Source organism: Homo sapiens, chromosome 8, assembly GCF_000001405.40.
Source record: "Homo sapiens chromosome 8, GRCh38.p14 Primary Assembly".
Taxonomy (NCBI): Eukaryota; Metazoa; Chordata; class Mammalia; order Primates; family Hominidae; genus Homo; species Homo sapiens.
The window spans coordinates 95,017,177-95,039,580 of NC_000008.11; the positions used below are offsets into that span (position 1 = coordinate 95,017,177).

Sequence of the window (22,404 nt, forward strand, 5' to 3'; positions counted from 1 at the left end):
CTGATCTGCCTGCCTTGACCTCCCAAAATGCTGGGACTACAGGCATGAGCCACCACGCCCCGCCCATCTGGTGCTTCTTAATGAGCTGTAGGCACAAAGGGATGAGGAGACTGAAGTGAGGGGTCATACAGAGGCATGTGGAGTCATGTAGAGTCATGGAGACAACCTTACAGGAAGGGAACAAGGGGATTAAGCAACCTGACTTTCCTTTCCTTCATCTCTCCCTCCCTCTCTTTGATTCTATATGAACCCAACTAGAAGCCAGAAGTCATGAGCATCTATCCATGTGGTCCATACAGGTCAGCCCTCCAGGTAGAAAGTAGGATGAAGAGGAAGAGTAGATCTGACCTAGAGAGGCAAATGTATTTTGCCATAAATTTCCACAGACTTTCTACCAACCCTTAGGTGTTTAGCTAGCCAGTAGCTGGTTGTCTACTTCTATCCAGTTTTTCCTGATAATATTTCATAGTTCATAGAGGCTGGGTATGTATTAGAAAATAACAAAAGTGTTTATCTGCTGATTCCTAGGATACCCTACAAATTGGATAGGTAGTGTCAACTCCTGCTTTTCTAGTTTCAGAGTTATTTACTGTGGGTTTTTTTTGTTTTAACATCTAGCCAGTCACCTCCTAAAAATGAACAATCCAACAGACTTCTGCAATCATGTGCACTTGGAACAAGTCCCTAATTAAATGATGACATCCTTTGAAGAAAGACATTTTGTCATACTGCTATCACCTCCACTGCTCATCTTGGTTTTTCAGTATTACAGAAGTTTCCAAACATGAAGAATATGGAGAATAAGATAATGTATATTCATATGTCTGCCATCCTGATTTAGAAAATTTTAATAATTTGACATGTTTGCTTCAGAATATTTTTTTTTCTGAGACAGGGTGTCGTTCTTTCACCCAGGCTGGGTGCAGTGATCGTGGCTCATTGCTGTGTCAACCTCCAGGGCTTGAAAAATCCCTCCAACTCAGCCTTTGAGTAGCTGGGACCACAGGTGGGCACCACCATGCTTGGCTATTTTTTTTTTTTGTAGAGATGGGGTCTCCCTATGTTGCCCAGGCTGGTCTTGAACTCCTGGGTTCAAGCAATCCTCCTGCCTTGGCCTCCCCAAGTGCGGTGATTACAGGTGTGAGCTACCACACCTGGCCTGCTTTAGAATTTTTAAATAAATAAAATATCACCAATACAGTGAGGGTTTCTTTTTACCTCCCATTACCTCCTATTCATTCATTCATTCATTCATTCATTCATCCATTAACTTTCATGTCAGAAAAATGTTTGAGCAACTACTCACTAGACTATAAAGCCAGGGGATAAATACAAATAAGCTTGTCTTGTTCCCTTTCCTCAAGGTGCTCCCAATCTGTTTTGTGGGGACAGACAAGAAAACATCTGAGAAGACAGGTGGGGGTGGGAAGAGGGGGTGTGCAACCCAGACATTGGGATAAAAACACAGGCATAAAGATGCCCATTAAACACAAATTGTATTGAACTGATTGAACTGATCTTGGTACATTAGTGGACAGCAACCAATTCAGGTGCCAAAAGAGAAATGAGAAAGAGAAGGAACAGGACAAGATGAAGAAAGAAGAAGAAATGACATCATAAGCCTTTAGGCTCCTAACCACTTCCCCCTACAATACACACAATGGGTGATGGGGTGATGATCACAGATATGCTATATTCCCTGGGTACTTGACTTAGGGGCTATGGCATAGGCAAGGTATTTGTGGTTTCTGGTACATAGCTGTAACTCCACCCATTTCTCTCCCATGTTGAAAATGACATTATCATCAGGATAACTTGGAGTCATCTCATATATATATTTACTTATTTATTTTGAGACAGAGTCTCGCTCTAGACCCTGGCTGGAGTGCGATGGCATGATCTTGGCTCACTGCAACCTCCACCTCTCAGCTTCAAGCGGTTCTCCTGCCTCAGCCTCCCAAGTAGCTGGGACTACAGGTTTGCGCCACCATGCCCAGTTAATTTTTGTATTTTTAGTAGAGACAGGGTTTTGCCATGTTGGCCAGGCTGTCTCAAACTCCTGGCCTCAAGTGATCTGCCTGCCTTGGCCTCCCAAAGTGCTGGGATTACAGGCGTGAGCCACTGCACCCCGCCTCATCTCTAATATATACACAAAGCAAACAATAGTATTTTCAAACTTTAGTTCTTTATTGTAATTAGAAACAACTTGTGCAGAGACAACCCACCATACCCATGTGACAACTATGACAAGTCTTGTCTGTGTCTTATGTAGGGGTCATCATCAATCTTCCTCTTCCTACATGTGATTTTGTATGCATTAAATCTATGGAACATTTCGCAGGTATGCCCCAGAATGGCTGATGGTCCATTTTTGGTAGGTGTGAAAAGATAAGAGAAAAAAAACCTAAAGAAATGACAGCTTTGGTATTGAAAAATTGGCAATATAAGATCATAGTGGAAACCAAAGAGTGAAATGAATAAAACTGCAATTGCATAACATAGTGACCACTTTGCCTCTTCTTGTTTCTGAGAGAACAGTGTGTAGGTGTCCTTTTAGCAAATGAAAAATATGCCACCTAATAGGTATTTGACATTGGCTAATTTTGTTAGTTTCTAGTGCCCCTTCCATACTACGTGTATAACCAGTACTAAATGCTCAAAAACTATTGAATTGATAGATGACTTTCTTTCAAATCTAAAATTGTACAATTCTATATTTTTTAAAAAAATGGTAATTGAGGGCCAGGCATGAAGGCTCATGCCTGTAATCCCAGCACTTTGGGAGGCCGAGGCAGGCAGATCGCCTGAGGTCAGGAGTTTGAGACCAGTCTGGCCAACATGGTGAAACCCTGTCTCTACTAAAAATACAAAAATTAGCTGGGTGTGGTGGTGGGTGCCTGTAATCCCAGCTACTTGGGAGGCTGAGGCAGGATAATTGCTTGAACCCGGGAGGTGGAAGTTGCAGTGAGCGGAGATCGCACCATTGCACTCCAGCCTGGGCGACAAGAGTGAAACTTTGTCTCAAAAAAACAAAGGTAATTGAGGATAAGTAAACTACCCAAAAAGCATGATGCATTCAAGTTCCTCTTTTTCATAGCTGCTGATAATAGGTTCCTTAAAATCAGATAACTGTAAGGCTTGACTATTAAACGAATAGTGGAAACCCTTCACAAGGGGAAATATTCCTTTCAACTTTGTATTTTCTTCATATTCTGCCCTTCTTAAACTTGCTGAGTCTGATTTGCTCTTTCAGTCACTAAGACTGCAAGCCTGTATGGTGCCTTGTTATAAATGAGAAGGTCCCCATCTGGGCTGAGGCAGCCCTGCAGGCACATGCCTCTCTGTGTGAAGAGAAAGGCTACCCTTCCTCTGAGCAGAGACAATGCCACACCAGCCCACACCAGCCCCTCTTGCTCCCTTAGCCAGGCATGTTTGTGCAGTGCACACACTGCATAACCTGGTGTCTTATTTCCGGTGCCAAAAAACTTGGCCTTCAGAACGATACACTAACACCTCCCAATGCCAGGCACTTGGCCAGGCACTGGAGATAAAAAGAGGAGTAAGAAAACATCTACCTTTGGCAGTCTGGGAAGAGGGCCATATAAGCAGATCACCACAGTAAGACCTGGCAAAGTGATCAAACATGAACACAAATTGTTATAGGATCAAAACTGGGGGAACAACTCTTTTTTTCTTGGATGGGGTTATGGTCAAGGAAAATTCAGGAAGGAAGAGGTGTTTAATTAGGTGTTTGGGGGATGAGTAGAGGTTCATGAAAGGGAAAAAGGGCATTAGAACTTTTGTGGTGACAAGGACAAACTTAGAGCTCTCCTCCTATAACCCCAAATCTCAGGAAAGCCTTGGGTTGCGGCTTACTTTGATTTAGGTCTTGAATCACACCATTTTTGTTGGGTTTGTCTTTCTACATGTCTTTTTGCCTTTGAAGTGATCCAGACAAGCTTAGCAGTGGGGTTTGTAAAAACAGTGTAATAAACATTGCCCATTTGCCAGGACTGTCCTCTGTGTAGCTCTCTTGGGAGTCTGTAGAGGCCGTAGGTGGCTGGTTAAAGGCTGGGGATTTGGGATTATCACCAAATGGCCTCCTTGAAGATACAGCACACAAGGACAATCCAGAAAGAGGGAACAGCATAATCCCACAATATTTTGTTTGCCAAATGGAAATCTCTTTAGTGACAAACATTTAACTTAGCACCAGGTGTGACCTTCAGTTATGCAATAGAATTGTGGATCAGCTAGGATGAAATTTCTTATTTCCCTAGAAGAATGTTTTGTCCAGAAACACTATCCCAAGGCAACAGACTATATTTCCAACTCTGTGAGCCTTTTCCCTTCTTGGCACGTGCTACTGGTTGCTAGACGAATCAGGAGGCAGTATGTGCATAGAACAGCTCCTCACAAGTCACTGTCATTCTAAGAAAAAAACTCAGTATGTGTCCTTTTGGCAGGAAGTCAGAAACATGTTCTCTGGACCATTAAGGGACAGCATCTTTTGTTATAAATGTGTTATATTTGTTCTTTGACCTTTATCTATATCCTTTATAATAAACCAGTAAATATATATAAGTGTTTCCCTGATATCTGGGAGCCATCATAGCAAATTATCAAACCTGAGGAGGAAGGTCCTGAAAATCCTTGATTTGTAGCCAAGTCAAACAAAAGCATGGGTAACCTAAGGACTCACTAATTGCTACTGGTGTCCAAAGTAGGGGGCAGCCTTGTGAGACTGAACTCTGAACCTGTGGATTCTGTCCTAACTGTGTAGTCCTGAAAATGCTTGGTGTGGAAGATCTATACATGTAGTGTCAGAAGGGTTGCATAAGTATAGAAAAATTGTTTTTCCTTTTTAGTAGTGGTTCATCTAAAAAGTATTTAATTGTGGAAAATATAAGGATTGAATAAGGGCATAGTTAATGTGTTATATCTGTTGATAAGATGAACTATAATGCTGTAATTAAAAATGTTTATGAAGGTTCAATATAATAAAAATACCAGTTTTCCATACATTAGGTATAAATTTAACATAGCTGTAATGAAAATACCTTCAGAATTATTTTAATCGAATGGCTGATCCTAAAAGCCAAATGGGAAAATAAACAAGAATGGCCAGGAAGACCGGGGAAGAGAAAAAGAGTAATGAAGAAGGACTAGCCCTACTAGATATCTATGAAAACATATTTTAAAGACGCAATAGTTAAAAGAGTTTACTACTAGAACATTAATAGACAAATGGAACACTATAGACACAAAGTATATGCATGAGTTTATTCTGTGAAAAAGGAAGCATCTCAAATCAAAGGAGGAAAAGGTGGACTACTGAATAAATGATAGTAAGACAACTACTAGATATAAAGAAAAAAGTTAGATTCATACCTTCCTAATCTTTACCCCTCCAAAAAAAAAAAAAAGAAATGTAAAAAAGTGAAATCTACAAGTAGTACGAGAGAAACCAGAAGGACTAGAAGAAAGCAAGGGATTCTTTTAACACATTTAAAATGGGGAAGGCCTTTTTAAAGACTGCAAAATCCAGAAGCCATAAAAGTAAATATTGTAAATTTGACTAGATAAAAATATATTGCAAAATTTCTGCATGGCAAAGATTCCACAAGCAAAGACAAAACTAAAACCTAACTGAGGAAAATAATAATGATCTATATTACAGACAAAGGACTAATCCCCCTCACGTGTCATGGCAGCTAGCTTCCCACAGAGTAAGTGATGAGAGAGAGAGAGAGAGCACCCAAGATGAAATATGGAAGGTGCAGACCTTTTATAACCTAATCGCAGGAGTGACATTGGGTTTTTCTTTCGAATTTTTCTGATTTGTTTCCCTGTGGTGTCGATTTATCTTGTTTCTTGTCTTTTTCTTATAAACTTTAAAATTAGATTTAGAAGCTTAATTAACTTTATGTTAAGCCTTTTTGCCAAGAATATTTCATATGTAGTATATTGAATTTTATGTTTCCTTTTATTAGTGAAGCAACTTTCCCAGAAGCACCACAGTGGACTTGTTCTCAAGTCTAATTGGCCAGATCAGGGAAATATGCACTGTCCTGGACCAGTCACTGGTGATGAAAGGGTAACACCCACCACCGGGGTTCTGCTACTACACAGGATGAAGAAAGGTAATTTCAGAGAGTAAAAACCAAAGTTGCATGAATTGGTTAGAGTTCTTAGGGCCAGAGGACAAGGTGCTTTACCTTGGGTTTAAACAAAAACATTAACTTGGAGTCACAAAGGCAAGTGGCCAGAGTTGAGGCAGAAAGGTAAATTGAGGCCACATCATGGACGGACTGCATATAACACACAGTAAATGCTGTCAAGTAGGGAAACGCCATGATCAGATGGACATTTTAGAAAGAACCAGTCTGGCCATAGCAAGAAAAGTCTAGGCAAATCTGGAGGCAAGAGGGATTCAAGTGTAGGCAGCTGCTGGCTGGGATCAGCTAGTTGGTAGCAGCTAGACCCACCTCTAATATTTGAGGGCCCTGAAAGTAAGAGTACCAAAGGAAGCCAACATACCATGTGAACAAATATTCAAAGTTAATCCCAGCACTATGGGAGACTGAGGTGGGCGGATCATGAGGTCAGATCGAGACCATCCTGGCCAACATGGTGAAACCTCATCTCTACTAAAAAGACAAAAATTAGCTGGACGTGGTGGCGTGCACCTGTAGTCCCAGCTACTCGGGAGGCTGAGGCGGGAGAATCGCTTGAACCCGGGAGGCGGAGGTTGCAGTGAGCCAAGATCAAGCCACAGCACTCCAGCCTGGCAACAGAGTGAGACTCTGTCTCAAAAAAAAAAAAAAAAGTTATAAATCAAGTTAGTAAACTGTTAAAAGCTCTGTCTTCCTGCCTTGATAAATACATCTTCCTAAGGACCTGAAAGGTCAGGTTTACATTGAAAATTTTGACTCCTTGGAGTTCCATGCTGGACCTTGGAGGCCCAGACAAGCAGGCTCTGGCCTATGGCCGTCTTCACTTCCTTTCCCTGTCCAAATAAGATTGTGGAATAACACAGATATTTTGAATGTTTGGATCTTACCCGACTACTTACTATTTATGTGAACTGAGGCACTTCAGCTTCTACAATTTTCAAGTGACAGCCATTGGGGTAAAGCAGGAAACAAAATAATGGCACTGCCCGTATGGAACCCAGAGGATACTGGGAGAAAAAAGTCAGCAAGCAGGTTAGCTATAGGTAGTGGTTGATAATGGCCTACTGTGTGGCTTCTCTGAGAGATGTGTGTGCTTTTCTGCTGGAGGTGTTAGGTGGCCAGTGGTTCCCAAACAGGGCGACATTTCCAGAGGCCTTTGGTGGTGTGTGGGCGTTTGGTGGTCACCAAGACTGGGCATTCACCTATTGCAAACTTCCAGCAACGTGCGGGACAGCGCTATTGCGCCCAAAGTGCCAAGGCAGCCCCTGTTGAGAAACAGTGCAAGGTGTTCTGTTCTCATGGTGGATTTGGGGTATAGGGGCGGCGGGGCGTGATTTTGGCAGCTACTTCCTTCACCAGCAGCACCCATCACTTCTTGTAGGTGCTCTGAGGTCGCCTGTGGATGCACGTGGGGGAAGGGGAAGAGCCCAGGAGGGGTCGGACGGACTTGGGCGGGTCTTTCCTGGAACGAAGGCCAAAGAGTCGCGGCGGCGGCCCAGATGCAGAGGACCACAGCGACACCTGGCTCTTCTTTGAGCGGCGTCCAGAGGCTGCCTTCCCGCGACTCAAAGGAGCATAGGGGAACCTGCAGGGGCGTGGCCGGGGCGTAGCTGCGCGCCGACGGCGGGGGGTCGAAGGGCACGCAGTGCCGGCGTCATGGCGGCCTCCGCGCACGGCTCTGTCTGGGGGCCGTTGCGGCTTGGCATCCCCGGCCTGTGCTGCCGCCGGCCGCCTCTGGGTCTGTACGCGCGCATGCGGCGGCTGCCCGGGCCGGAGGTGTCTGGGCGGAGCGTGGCTGCGGCCAGCGGACCGGGCGCCTGGGGCACTGACCACTACTGCCTGGAGCTGCTGCGGTGAGCGAGCACGACCTTCCCTGGCGCGGCGGGAAGCGGGGTCCCGGGGTGGGAGCGGCTGCGCCTCGCGTCTGGCCTGACGTTTGAGCGAGCGGACCGGCGCCTTCCTCGTGCCCCTCTGGGTGTGCGTTCTAGTGGGCGTCGGGTGCGGGTGTGCGGAGGCAGCGGGCCCACAGGAACATTCACATGGGTCACAAAATTATGGCAAAATTCCTTCGACTGCCCACGCTTGTCGCCTTATCTGAACCTTAATTTTAGCCGAATTCAGCGTTTTTGCATGAATAACCTTTGTTATTCACAGAACGTCTATTAGTTTTAACCACAACGGTAGCCAACTTTGAGTTCTTTCTGTGTGCCTGGCATTATGCAAAGCAGATTACGAGTAATTAGTCTTCATTACAAGTTGCGACGGACAAATGTAGACCTATCATTTAAGGTTGTGAGTTATAAAGCATTTAGAACAATTCCTGGCATATAGTAAGGGCACAGTGAGTGGAAGTCATTATTATCTCATTTAACAGACAAGGAAACTGGGTTTTATAGTGATTAGAGAATTTGCCACAGGTTCACAAGAATAGCCTCATAAAGTCAGAGCCCTGAAGTGTTTTGTTTGTCGGGCGTAGTGCTGGGAAGGCCTGGCACTTGGGTGTCGCTCCTTAATCATTTGTGGAGGTGGGTTGGATCAATCAGGTCACCTGGTTCATGCGGCAGGGACCCCTGGGAATCCAGGCCTGACTGCTGAGACCAGTGGCTTAGCCCCTCTGCCCTTCTGCTATGTCTCATTTGAAAGACTGGGGTAAGGTCTTGAAGTACTTGGTCTCAAGGACTTACCAAAAGTACTTGAATGACTAAACTACCTTGAAGTTGATCATGCAAGTAAAACCGTTTTTTTTTTAATTCCATTTTAGAGAAAAGCAGCATAACACAACAAAATGCATGCATTTCAGTGTTTTGTTTATAATCCCTTTTAAAAATTGTGGGCCGGCCGCGGTGGCTACACGCCTGTAATCTCCGCACTTTAGGAGGCTGAGACCGGTGGGTTGTTTGAGCCCAGGTGTCTGAGACCAGTCTGGCCAACATGGCGAAACCCCATCCCTACAAAAAAATAAAAAATTAGTTGGGCGTTGTGTCCCGCGCTTGTGGTCCCGGCTGCTCCAGAGGCTGACGTGGGAGGATCGCTTCAGCCTGGGAGGTGGAGGTTGCAGTGAACCAAGATCGCTCCACTGCACTCTAGCCTGGGCGACAGTCTCAAAAACAACAAAAACAAAAATTATTTATTTCCTACCTTATTTGTTGATTACTTGTAAGAGAAACAAGATAGCAGTAATGGAAATCAGGCATTAAGAATTGTAAAAGCCAAAAAAAATTGTAAAAGCCAAAATTGTGAAAAGATTGCATTATTTTTATATATTTAAGTTGTTATATTTTGATGATAAAAACTTTAAGTTGCCAGAGTATACCACCCAATAGCCGCTAGTGTCATAACTTTGCAGAGATAATCACTTTTAAAAATTTCTTATCTATTTTTCCAGGGATAGTCTGTGGATTTACAAATATTTAAGGCTGGAGGAATGGCTTACACCTGTAATCTCAGCATTTTGGGAAGCCTAGGCAGAAGGGTTGCTTGATGCCAGGAGTTTGAGACCAGCCTGGGCAACATAGCGGGATGCTGTTGCTACAAAAAATAAAAAAATTAGCTGGGCTTGGTGGCACAGCCTGTGGTCCCAGCTACTGCGAGGCTGAGGCGGGAGGATCACTTCACTCCAGGAGGCTGAGGCTGCTATGAGCCGAGTTTGCTCCATTGCACTCCAGCTGGGGCAACAGAGCAAGACCCTGTTTCAAAACAAACAAACAAAAATATTTAAGTACATTATTAGTTATTTTTTACTTCAGTCACATGCTAGTTTTTCTCAAGTATATATACTGTATTTACAAATGGTCAGTTACTTAAACTGTCCATGTTATTTGTGTGGAATGGGGGCTCTTGACTCTAGTGACTTATTTCAAATGCTGAATTTTGCAGGCAGACCTGATTTGAGAGTATTAATCCCAGCTCTATCACTTGGGAAGGTTTCTTTAAGATTCCATGTTGGCTGGGCACCATGGCTCACACCTGTAACCTTAGCACTTTGGGAGGCTGAGGAGGGAGGATTGCTTGAGCCTAAGAGTTCCAGACCAGCCTGGGCAACATAGTGGGACCCCTTCTCTACAAAAAATAAATAAAATTAGCTGGGCATGGTGGTAAGCACCTGTAGTCCCAGCTACTCTGGAGGCTGAGAGAGGAGGATCACTTGAACATGGGAGGTTGAGGCTGCAGTGAGCCAAGATCTTGCCACTGCACTCCAGCCTGGGTGACAAAATGAGACCCTGTCTCAAAAAAAAAAAAAAAAAAAGATTCGGTTTTTTCCTCATTTGTAAATGTTTACTCTTACCTTATAGCCTGGTGTTGTGAGGATTAAATGTGATGATATAGTAAAAAATGCTTAGCAGAGTTCAGACACATGACAAATATAAGTTTAAAAAATAAAAATAAACTTGAAATAGAATTTCTGGCTTCTAATTGTCCATCAATAATCTCTGCAAGATTTGGCCTCTGAAATTATGCAGGGTTGTTTTGGACGTGCATTTTATGCAAGGCCTCTAAATAGCAGGAAAAATAGCAGGCCATAACTTCGGGTTCACCATCCTCGGCTCTCCTAGCAATTTAGGTTTTTGGGAAAATCTCAAACCTAATTTACATAGGCTTCTCCGACTTTGGCTTTGAGGAGGATAAACACAGAGCCTCAGGCTGTAGTGAGAAGGTGAGGAGGTACTACTGGTGGTGTTGGAGTGCACTAATGTTCTTTACTTTGCTGCAATCTCACCAGGGAATCACTTCCTTTGTGCCTCAGTGGCACAGGTCCATGGTACTAACACACAACAATCCTAATACCCCGTGTGCTTGTTTCTTATATGTCTGTCTCTCTCAACTCAATCGAAGTCAGTACCCATCTTCAGTGTCTGGAACAGTGCCTGGCACATAGTAGGCACTGCATAGATGTTAGAATGAATGAGAGGTTATTTGCCCTATTGCCATATAAAGCTGTTATATATACATCCGTAATATGGCATTTCTCATTATCTGGGACTGGATAATCTCAGGTAACTGGATCTTGGTTAGATGCTTAGGACATTCTTGTATATCCATAGTTCAATAATTCACATTTATAACGATGATCCTAAGTGATGAAGAAATGGCTAAATAATCAGTATATCATGTTTAATGTGGTGAAGGGGGTAATATTGTTTAGAAAAATTTCCATCCAAAATTTAAAAATATATTTAATACGGCAGATCCTTGGCTGTGTGGAAGACTTTATTTTCCAAATGTTACTACAGTTCTATTATGTCTTCATTTCATTTTTCATTTCCCTCTAAGAAGCTTGAAGTACTTCACATACTGCTTTTTTTTAGAAGATAACCTTGGTAGGTTATTAAGCTTCATTTGCAAATTGGGAAATAGACAGGAGTGATTGGTGTCATTTCTATTAATAACCAGTTCGGTGATGGAAGTTAAGATTGTAGTTTGATTCCCATTCAGTGTTTTTCTCACTGTTTCATGTTAACTTCAAGTGTTTTAAACACTTCTGAAGTTTGGAGACTTTTTATGGCAAAATACAATTTAAAAAATGTCAACTATAGAGCTGCTTTGCCTTCGCTGTCCTTAGAAACTTTTGGGGAACCATTTTGTTCCCCAAAGGTGAAACTGCTTAGGGTGAGATCTTTTTAGCAGTACTCTTGAGATAGCAAGGTTACTGTTTGTGACCTCTTCTTTTGGTTTATGTGGCAATTGGAGGAGACTGTCAAGGGAATGGCTAGAAGCAGTTTAAGTTCTCTGTTAGGAACATGACAAAGTGTGAACCAGTTGAAAAGTGGGAGAAATCTGAATTTTAGTACCTAAACTCTATGGGATGAGGCCCAGGTTAGACTCATATTAAATATTGTTTTATAAGAAGGTTCCAATGTATTAAAGTAGGTAAGTACCTTATACTTAAGTCATCTTTCCTGGAGTGAATATGGTAAGGTCTATATGTTCATAACATTTTATTTTCAAGTAATTGTAAATTTACATAAAAATTACAGAAATAGTACACAGAGAGCCAATATACTCTTTAGCAGATTCCCTCATTTTTTAACACTCTGAAACATTTAAGGATAAGATGCAGACATGATACTTCATTAACTGCCCTTAATACTTTGGTCTGTATATTGTAAGTACAAGGACGCTTTCCCGTAGAATCACAGTACAGCCATCAAAATCAGGAAATTAAAATTGATCCAGTATTACCATTTAATCCACAGGCCCCATTCAAATTTTGCTGATTATCTTATTATGTCTTTCATACATCCAAAATCATGTGCTACATGTAGTTATATCTCTCTAGTCTTCTCCAATCTGGAACAATTCCTCACATCTTATCTTTCATGAGCTTGATATTTTTTGAAGAGAATAGGCCAGTTACTTTGTAGAAATCTCCTTTGATTTGGGTTTTTAATATTTTCTCTTGACATGCATTTTTGGCAGGAATATCACAGAAGGGACACTCAGCTTTTCTCTCCATATCATATCAGGCAGCACATGACATTGATTTGTCCTATTATTATGATGTTAACCTCTTACTACGTGGTTGAAAAGGTGACTTCCAGATTTTTTTTTTGTAAATTTAATTAAGAATGTTAATTATAAGCAAGAAGTGCATACTTACTTCGTGGGGAGATACTTCAGTACTATGTAAGTATTCTTTTTCCATCAAACTTTTACCCCTTTAACATTTTCAGGCATTTATTGATGATTTTTATCTGAATCAGTTAATACTATGATAGTTATCAAATGGTGATTTTTAAAAATTCCATCATGTCTTCTAAATTTAGTAGTAGGCATTGTATTGGTTGTCAAGCTTTTCCTTCTCTTCCTATTTATTAATTTTTATTGGTACAAGCTCATAGAGTCCTGTTTCAAATTGTTACTATTATTTATTTATTTATTTATTTATTTATTTTAGAGACAGGATCTCCTGTTACCCAGACTAGAGTGCAGTGGCATGATCATAGCTCACTGTAACCTTGAACTCCTGGGCTCAAGTAATCCTCCCACCTCAGCTTCCTAAGTAGCTAGGACCACAGGCCCATGCCACCATGCCCAGCTAATTTTTTTATTTTTTAAGTTTTTTGTAAAGACAGTGTCTCACTGTGTTGTCCAGGCTGGTCTTGAACTCCTGACCTCAAGCCATCCTCCCTGCTCTGCCTCCCACAGTGCTAGATTATAGGCATGAGCCACCATGCTGGGCCCTGTCATTATTTTTTGATCCTGAAATTGCTGTGGACTTGGCCAGTGAGAACTCTGTCAAGCCAGTTTCTGTGTTCTTTTGAGAAGTTTCCTCCATCCTTTAAACATTTCTTTACTTTTTGCTCAAGAAAATGTTTCAGACTTATCTTGTATTTTCCCTGCCCTAGGAATGGAGTCAGTTATTCCTTCCAGGAGCCTGTGTTAGTCTGTTTTGCATTGTTATAAAGGAATATCTGAGACTTGGTAATTTGTAAAGAAAAGAGGTTTCTTTGACTCATGGTTCTGCAGGCTGTGCAAGAAGCATGGCACCAGTATCTGCTCAGCTTCTGGCAAGGCCTCAGGAAGCTTTTACTTGTGGCAGAAGACGAAGGGGAGCAGGTGTATCACATGGCAAGAGAGGAAGCAAAAGAGAGAAGGGAGGAGGTGCCAGGCTCTTTTAAGCAACCAGCTGTAGCGTGAACTAATACACTCACTTATCCCCAAGGGGATGGCACCAAACCATTCATGAGGGATCCACCCCTGTGACCCAAATACCTCCCACTAGGCCCCACCTCCAACATTGTGGGGGTCACATTTCAACATGAGATTTGGAGGAGACAAATATCCAGATATCAGAGCCCTAGTTTCTTTCAGTGGAGAATGGTTTCAGAAACCAAGATCTGGGTGCTAGGTGTGTTCACCAATACCGGGAATGTGGGGTGGGGGCTGGGGGCATTATTACTTCTAGGCTCTTTCAGCAGGTGCTGCAAGGAAACGTATGTGTGCACACAGTCCTACATGAATTTCTATGTCTTATCTCTGCCTTTCTGTATATCTGTCTATATGTCTTAAAAACCATACATTCACCCCAATATTTGCTTGAACTATTTTAACTTGATTTATTCTTTTGAAGCTCATTTGAATTCTTACTAAAACAAAAGTGATTCTGAAACAGTTAAAATTATAAGTACTACATAAGTCATAGTAAATTGATAGAGATTAGGTGGCATTGGGGTACATTTTTCATAACTTTTAAGGAACGGTTATAAAAAATAAGACATGTCAGGCCTTTTCTGAACTGAAGCCTCACGTTGTTATTGTTTTTTTGAGATAGAGTCTTGCTCTGTCACCCAGGCTGGAGTGCAGTGGCGCAATCTGGGCTCACTGTGACCTCCACCTCCTGGGCTTAAAGCAGTTCTCGGGCCTCAGCCACTCAAGTAGCTGGGATTAGAGGCACATGCCACCATGCCCGACTAATTTTTGTATTTTTAGTAGAGACGAGGTTTCACCATGTTGGCCAGGCTGGTCTCGAACTCCTGGCTTCAGGTGATCCGCCCGCCTTGGCCTCCCAAAGTGCTGGGATTACAGGCATGAGCTACCGCGCCCAACTTGAAGCCTTTTTGTTTTCAGTTAATTTTAGTCAGTATTTTTTTGTGCAGCTTGGAAAGTGAAGAGTAACTGTCTTTTTTTTCTGTCTGTTACAGGAAACGGGATTATGAAGGTTATTTATGCTCCCTGCTGCTCCCTGCAGAATCCCGAAGCTCTGTTTTTGCACTGAGGGCCTTTAATGTGGAACTGGCTCAGGCTGGTATTAAGATACCTTAAAATATTATTTGCGAAATGGTGATATAAGGTGTTTAATGCTGAACAATAAAGAAATATAGTTGTAATTTATATGTTAGATGTGTTTAAGGTCTCTGCTAGTGATTTCTTTTCCCTGCTAACTGTTTAGGCTTAGTAATTCAATACCAAAAATAAAACTATCTAATGAACTTAATGGTTCTAGAAATGCCATTCTGGAATTTTTTATTTCTCTTCCCGAGGATATTATAAAACTGTGCCATTAACATTGCACATTTGTCTGCTAATTAAATAGGTTAGTCAGAGAATTACTGCTTATTCTTTCCAACAATTGCATAATTTACATGTATATAGCAGTTTTTCAAAGCATTTTTTAAATTGAGGTTTTAGCTTTAATATCAGTAGGGAATGAAAGCAATTGTAGCAAACCAGGACCTTAGATCATACTAATTCACTTTTGTCTAAGAATTCCAAAGGAAGGAGAGATCCTCTTTTTTCTTCTTTAGAATGGAAAGAATATGTACAAATACAAAATAAATTGGAATGGTGGATGGAGATGAGAGAGTGAAAACTGGAACAGCCTTAGTCTTCTCAGTAATAAATTGAGAGGTCAGATATTGGGAGTGAGGGAGCAGGAGAGGATTCAGAGTCTTGAAGAGAGTAGCAAATTTTGACACAGATTCTCAGGGAATATGGTAGGAAGTGAACAAGGAACAAATAAAAGGATATGAATATGGCACCGAGGCACAACTGAGATTCACAACTGTGAGTCTGTAGAGAGTCTAATAGACTGGCTGTTTTTTCCTCTGGTATCTTCCTGGAAGTCATGGGTTATGATTTTTCACCTCATCCTTTTTCAAGTGTAAACTGTACATAAGCATGTTAAATCAGTCACAGTTTAGCCATAAATAGTTCCCACCTTGGTCTTTATTATCATTTTTAAATGATTAAAATTTAATTTTTTAATTTTTAATTTTACAGACAGGTCACCCAGGCTGGAGTGCAGTGGCATGATCACAGCTTATTGTAACCTTGAACTCCTGGGCTTTAAAGCAATCCTCCCACCTCAGCCTCCCAAGTAGCTGGAACTGTACATGTGCCACTATGCCTGGCTAATTAAAAACAATTTTTTTTTTAGAGACAGAGTCTTGCTATGTTGCCCAGGCTGGTCTCAAATTCCTGGCCTCAAATGGTTCTCCTGCCTCAGCCCCTAAAGTGCTGGGATTACAGGCATAAGCCACTGCACCCAGTCAATACAATTTTATTTTTAATAAACCCCCAGAGTTCCTTCTGAATTCTGTCACTTTGTACTTCTTTGTACACTTTGTACATCTTGCTGCTGCTTTGCACATGGAGCCTTGTTTATTCACTCATTCAACAAGTGTTGATTGAATGCAGAGACTTTACATAGTCTGTATTCAATGCTATACCCACGTGACATAAAACAGGGTCTGCACTCAATGAACAAATAAATCATTGTGTAATGTATCAGATGGAGACTAGTGCTATGGAGAGAAATAAAGCAGGATAAGGAGGCTTCGAAGGCTGGGTACACCAGGGGTTCCTATTTTATGTAGGATGGTTAGGAGAAACCTCACGGAGAAGGTGGCATTGGAGCAGAGATCTGAAGGAGGTGAGGGAGTGAGCTGTACAGATATGTGGGCAAAGAGTATTCTAGGCAGAAGGAACAGCGAGTGCAGTCTCTAAGGTGCAATTGTGCCTGCTTAAAGAACAGAAGAAGGCAGGTGGTCCAGCAGAGCAGGGAGGGGCGCATGGGAGGAGATTCAGTTAGGGGCACCTGGGTCAGAAAGGTAAGGTCTTGGAGACACCATTGAAATCACTTTGGCTGAGTGAGATAGGCAGCCACTGGAGGGTTCTGAGCAGAGAGACATCACCTCTTGGTTATATTTTGAAAGGATTACTCTTGCTGCTGTCTTGCTGTACTGTATGCCACTGGGATCTGAACACTAAACATTGCTAAGAAACCCACCCACCACCAGGATATTTGGAAGTAACTTCACATATGGAAAAGTAAGAGTAGTACAAACAATACTCATGACCCTGTTGTTAATATTTTGTCCCATTTGCGTTATTCTGTCTACATATGTATATATACACATTTCTCTTTTTATGAATCATTTTAGAGTAACTTGACTATATCATGACCCTTATCGCTATAAACTTGATTGTGTGTCTCATAAGAATAAGGATAATCTCTTACATAACCACAGTACACTTACAAAAAAATAAACTTAACATTGATGCAGTACTTTTATTTGATCTACCATCTGGTTTCCAGTTTTCTCAAATGACCCAGTAAGGTCTTTTATGGCATTTTTTCCCCCTTCTGTATGGGATCTAATCTAGGATCATGTATTACATTTAGTTTTCTGTCTCTTTAGCCTCCTTTATTCTGGAACATTTCCATAGCCTTTCTTTGCGTTTTGTGACATTGACATATTTTAAGCAATACTATTCCTTTTAAGAATTAAAATGTTTCTCATTTGGGGTTTATTTTATTTTTCATCAGGTTTATATTAAACTTATGGATTCCTAGCGTAATATTACCTAAGTGGTCTGTGTCCTCTTCAGAGTCAGAAGGAGGCATGAAATATCCGTCTGACTCCCAGCAGTAATGTTAATTTTAGTCACTGAGTCAAGATGTTAATACTTTTTCCCTTGCTACTAATAAGCAGCCTGTGAGGAGACCTTTTAAGACCATGTTCCTCATCAAAATTTACCTCCTAGATTTAGCTTGTGTTGGTGATTCTTGCCTGAACCTAAGAAGGCCATTTTTTTTTTTTTTAGATGGAGTTTCGCTCTTGTCGCCCAGGCTAGAGTGTGGTGGTGTGATCTTGGCTCACTGCAACCTCTGCCTCTCAGGTTTAAGCGATTCTCCTGCCTCAGTCTCCTGAGTAGCTGGGATTACAGGCACCCACCACCACACCCGGCTAATTTTTTGTATTTTTAGTAGAGACGGGGTTTCATCATGTTAGCCAGGCTGGTCTTGAACTCCTGACCTCAGGTGATCCACCCTCCTTGGCCTCCCAAAGTTTAAGGTTTACAGATGTGAGTCACCGTGCCTGACCAGAAGGCCATTCTTAGTAGTGAGTGAGGGAGACAATCTAATAATCTTCTTTTTAAAAATTACTTAAAGAATGAATGAATGAATTTATTTAAAAGTACATGCAGTAAAATTCTCTCTTTGTTGTGTTCTATAGGTTCCAAAAAATGTAGTCATGTATTTATCACCATAGTCATAATACAGAACAGTTACATTAACTCAAAAAATTCCCTCAAAGATACTGATTTTTTAGACAGTAGACAATGCATTTGCTAAAGTTTTTAAACCCTGTTTATAGGTTAAAGACTCAGTCTCTGAGAAAACAATTGGACTGATGCGAATGCAGTTTTGGAAAAAAACTGTGGAAGATATATACTGTGACAATCCACCACATCAGCCTGTGGCCATTGAACTATGGAAGGTAAAAAAAAAAAAATACCACTTTTAATTTGTATGAATATTATTCGAGTCTACTTTTTGATGGATATAATTTGGGTACTGGTGATTATAGTGGAATCTATTCTGAAAATATTCTTAGGCTTATGTATTCAGAGCTGTTATAGTTTTGGCACAGAAATTTAAAATCACCCACTGATAATTTACACACATCTTTTGTATATTTGTTTATTAAAGGAAAAAGGAAGAATTAGTCTCTACATAATAACTTGTATTTTCCACATTTCCATATTTGCCTGCAGAATTTAAATCCTACACATTTTGATATAATAGCAAGTAAAATGTTCTGTTCTCTCTGCCTAGCAGCAGCTCCTTATACCAGTGTTTTAATCCAGGTTTTGGGCATACCAGTGTTTTAATCCAGGTTCTGGGCTGTAGAACATGTATTAATCTTTTGTGATGGGAGACTTGCTCTCAGTGTTGTCCAGATACAAATCTAAAACTGCCTTGTCTAGTTTGATAGAATTATCTATCCATTGTTGAGTTTTAGGTGTTAGAGAATGGAAACCTATGGGCTAGAGTATTATTTGTATAGCTAGATATATACCATAAATGGTTTTATAGTAAAGCAGCTGTATGGATCCCTCACTCATAAGCAGCCACACATGGCTTAGAAATATTCTAAACTATGAGAGGAGGAAGGGAATTAGATACCTTTCATCACTGATCTGTGTCCCTGTTGTAATGCAGTGATTGCCAAAAGAGGGTTTCTGTAACAGGAGCCACCCACAGACCTGACAGTGGTACACCTCTTCTCAGGTCTGCACACCAGCAGAGGCAGGCCCAGTTTCTGGGCCCCAGATTGACTTCACAGAGCCCCAGTAAAGATGGAAAGCCAGAACCCCCCAACTGGGGATTGAGAAGAAAAAGTGGATGGGAAGCTGTGAGTATTAGATTAGTTCTTTACCTCTGTTCATCCCACTTCAAGAAGCTCAACCTAGGTGACTCACTAAAAAGTTTTCCTAAAATCCAGAAACCCTTTCTATTTATTACTTTACACCTAAATCGGAGTATAGTGGAGGTGGAGGTTTATGTTAAGACTTGCGTAAAAGGTTCTGGCCTTTGTTGGGAAATATGTGGAAGATTAGAGAGTCCTTTGATGCAAATTTATCTTTCCTTGGCTTCCCTTAAAAAACCAGAAGACAAATCTGAATTACAGAATGTTTACATATCTGCCAATTTAGGATTGCTAAATTGTCCGATTTTAATAGCTGCTTAAATTTTGATGGTTAATGTTGGCTGGCTTTCTGACGTGACCGGTGTTGAAGCTGAACGTGAATATTTGAAAGATGCAGGTCATGTTCAGTGCAGTTGTCCTTGCTGCATGTTCTCTATCCTTCCCCATTCTGCTGGAGCATATGGGGCATATTGGGTATTTGAAGTGTTGGGTTCTTGAGGAGATTAAATAGAGGGAACAATGACAATGTGTTATCCAGAGAGCACTTTTCTGCTGCACTGTTTCATTGGTATTTTTAGGGTACAAGATACTTGAATATTTATAATTTCTTATCCATTCTAGATGGGTTCCCCATTTCTCTGTATGAATTTTAGCTGCAGTTTGAATTTATGTTTATAACCAAGGTCTTTCTTCTATTTGGCTTCAGTTTCCAGAGTTCACACTTCATTCAGCAGATTTCCAACTTCTTTAAAATATTTACTTTTTTACCTTGGTCTCCGATTTCCTTCTGAATCAGAGCTATATTTTATAATCAAGGATCTACAGCCATTACAGCTTCAGCCTTGAGTAAATAGGAGTTTGGCTTTTCATTTATTAAATATTTATTTAGTACTTTTTTATGTGCTAGGAATGGTGCTTGAAGGTCCACAAAATCAAACATGCCCATCGGCCCAGATGTGTAAAATAAAACAAGAGCATGAGTCTGTAATGACCGATTGGCTGATTCCTGGAATTTGGAAGAGAGGCCTATGGGGAGAGTCCTGCCATGTAGTAGTAGTAGTAGTGCCGAGAACACTTAAGAACTAACGCCTTTTTAACTTCTATTAGATTCCTGCCAGGCAAAGTGGGCTCTGTTCTCCATACATACACCTTTGTCATGTAATGCATTTTGATGAGCACGCTGGCCTTTACATTTAGTATCAGTGACATCTGAGAGTCTTAGTTGAAGTATAGCATATCCCTAGATTTTATGTTTCACTACTATGTTTATTTTTTGTGAAAATATATTATGCTTAATGCTGACATGGCAGAAAAAAAAACATTTTAAAAACTTACTTGGAAATAATTCCAAACTTTCAGAAAGGTTACGAAATTCAAAGCAGGACAAACACCTCTATACCCTTTATCCAGATTCATCAGGCTGGAGTGCAGTGGTGCAAACATGGCTCACTGCAGCCTCAACCTCCTGGGCTCAGGCGATCCTCTTGCCTCAGCCTCCTGAGTAGCTGGGACCACAGGCATGCGCCACCACACCTGGCTAATTAAAAAATTTTTTTTCTAGAGATGAGGTCTCACTGTGTTGCCTCTCCTTGCCTCCTGGCCATCCTCCCACCTTGGCTTCCCAAAGTGTTGAGATTACAGGTGTGAGCCACTGTGCATGGCCCACTTATTGTTAATATTTTATCCCATTTGTTTAATCATTTTTCCTCACTCACATATTCAGTTTCTCGCTCTTCTCCTCTCCTCCTTCTCCTATTCCCCCATATGTGTATCCACATTCATAATTTTTTTGTGACAAATTGCATTTGATTGTAAGTTATATACATCATAATCCTAACCAAAAAAATTTAGCGAATATTTTCTTTTTGTTTTTTTTTTTGAGACAGAGTCTCACTCTGTCACTGAGACTGAAGTACAGTGGCACAGTCTTGGCTCACTGCAGCTTTGATCTCCCAGGCCCGGGTAGCTGGGGCTACAGGCACATGCTACCACACCTGGCTGATGTTTTTTTAATTTTTAGTACAGGTGAGGTCTCACTTTGTTGCCCAGGCTGGTTTTGAACTCCTGAGCTCAAGTGATCCACTCACCTTGGCCTCCCAAAGTGCTGAGATTACAGGCGTGAGCGAATTGTTTGATTCAGTCTTTACCATGCCTGGCCTCAGTAAATATTTTCTTTTTTTCTTTTTTGAGACGGAGCTTTGCTGTGTCACCAAACTGGAGTGCAGTGGTGTGATTTCAGCTCACTGCAACGTCTGCTTCCTGGGTTCAAGCAATTCTCCTGCCTCAGCCTCCGGAGTAGCTGGGACTACAGGTGTGTGCCACAATGCCCAACTAATTTTTGTATTTTTAGTAGAGACGGGGTTGTTGGCCAGGATGGTCTCCATCTCTTGACCTCGTGATCTGCCTGCCTCGGCCTCCCAAAGTGCTGGGATTACAGGTGTCAGCTACCGCACCTGGCCTATTTTTTGTGTTTGTTTTTTTTTTTGAGACAGGGTGTTGCTCTGTTGCTCAGACTGGAGTGGAGTGTCATTATCTCAGCTCACTGCAACTTTCACCTGCTGGGCTCAAGCCATTCTCCTACCTCAGCCTCCCAAGTAGCCGGGACTACAGTTACCCGCCACCATGCCTGGCTAATTTTTTTTTTTGTAGAAATGGGGTTTCGTGGCCAGGCACGTTGGCTCACACCTGTAATGCCAGCACTTTGGGAGGCCGAGGCGGGTGGATCACGAGGTCAAGAGATTGAGACCATCCAAGCCAACATGGTGAAACCCCGTCTCTACTAAAAATACAAAAATTAGCCGGGCGTAGTGGTGTGCGCCTGTAGTCCCAGTTACTCGGGAGGCTGAGGCAGGAGAATCGCTTGAACCGGGGAGGTGGAGGTTGCAGTGAGCCAAGATTGCGCCATTGCACTCCAGCCTGGCGACAAAGCGAGACTCTGTCTCAAAAAAAAAAAAGGGGGGGTTTCACTGTGTTGCCCAGGCTGGTCTCAAACTCCTGAGCTCAAGCTATTCTCCCACCTTATCCTCCCAAAGTGCTGGTATTACAGGTATTAGCCACCGCCCCGGCCTAAT

The 22,404-nt window shown here is 41.7% G+C and overlaps 1 protein-coding gene across 26 annotated transcripts in view, besides 4 other annotated features; it reads left to right on the top strand.

Annotated features, from left to right (window-relative positions):
- The window catches only part of NDUFAF6 (NADH:ubiquinone oxidoreductase complex assembly factor 6), a 222,698-nt gene that overhangs the window by 121,378 nt on the left and 78,916 nt on the right, over nucleotides 1–22,404 (top strand). For 4 of the 26 annotated variants that reach the window (NR_148913.2, NR_148911.2, NM_001354531.2 and 1 more), the window contains exons 1-3: nucleotides 7,813–8,029; nucleotides 14,819–14,918; nucleotides 18,278–18,400. Coding sequence is in view for 10 of the 26 variants with exons in the window: in NM_152416.4 (NP_689629.2) it covers nucleotides 7,833–8,029; nucleotides 14,819–14,918; nucleotides 18,278–18,400 (420 nt within the window). In the remaining 16 variants the exon portion in view is untranslated. Of the gene's footprint in view, nucleotides 1–7,812; nucleotides 8,030–14,818; nucleotides 14,923–16,831; nucleotides 16,947–17,445; nucleotides 17,548–18,277; nucleotides 18,401–19,125; nucleotides 19,319–22,404 lie in introns of those variants that run through there. The other 22 variants (NR_148910.2, NM_001354527.2, NM_001354518.2 and 19 more) reach the window with 14 other exon arrangements.
- Nucleotides 6,872–7,718: an enhancer, noted in NCBI's record as "H3K27ac-H3K4me1 hESC enhancer chr8:96036276-96037122 (GRCh37/hg19 assembly coordinates)". NCBI's record gives its function as "activates a minimal SCP1, AML or CMV promoter by ChIP-STARR-seq in naive H9 embryonic stem cells {active_cell/tissue: H9 hESC(naive)}" and the evidence as "EXISTENCE:reporter gene assay evidence [ECO:0000049][PMID:30033119]".
- Nucleotides 7,685–7,979: an enhancer, noted in NCBI's record as "tiled region #2014; HepG2 Activating DNase matched - State 1:Tss, and K562 Activating non-DNase unmatched - State 1:Tss". NCBI's record gives its function as "activates a minimal TATA promoter and a strong SV40 promoter by Sharpr-MPRA in HepG2 and K562 cells {active_cell/tissue: HepG2 | K562}" and the evidence as "EXISTENCE:reporter gene assay evidence [ECO:0000049][PMID:27701403]".
- Nucleotides 7,685–8,104: a biological region, named in NCBI's record as "Sharpr-MPRA regulatory region 2014".
- Nucleotides 7,735–8,104: a silencer, noted in NCBI's record as "silent region_19378". NCBI's record gives its function as "represses an Ori minimal core promoter by ATAC-STARR-seq in GM12878 lymphoblastoid cells {active_cell/tissue: GM12878}" and the evidence as "EXISTENCE:reporter gene assay evidence [ECO:0000049][PMID:35858748]".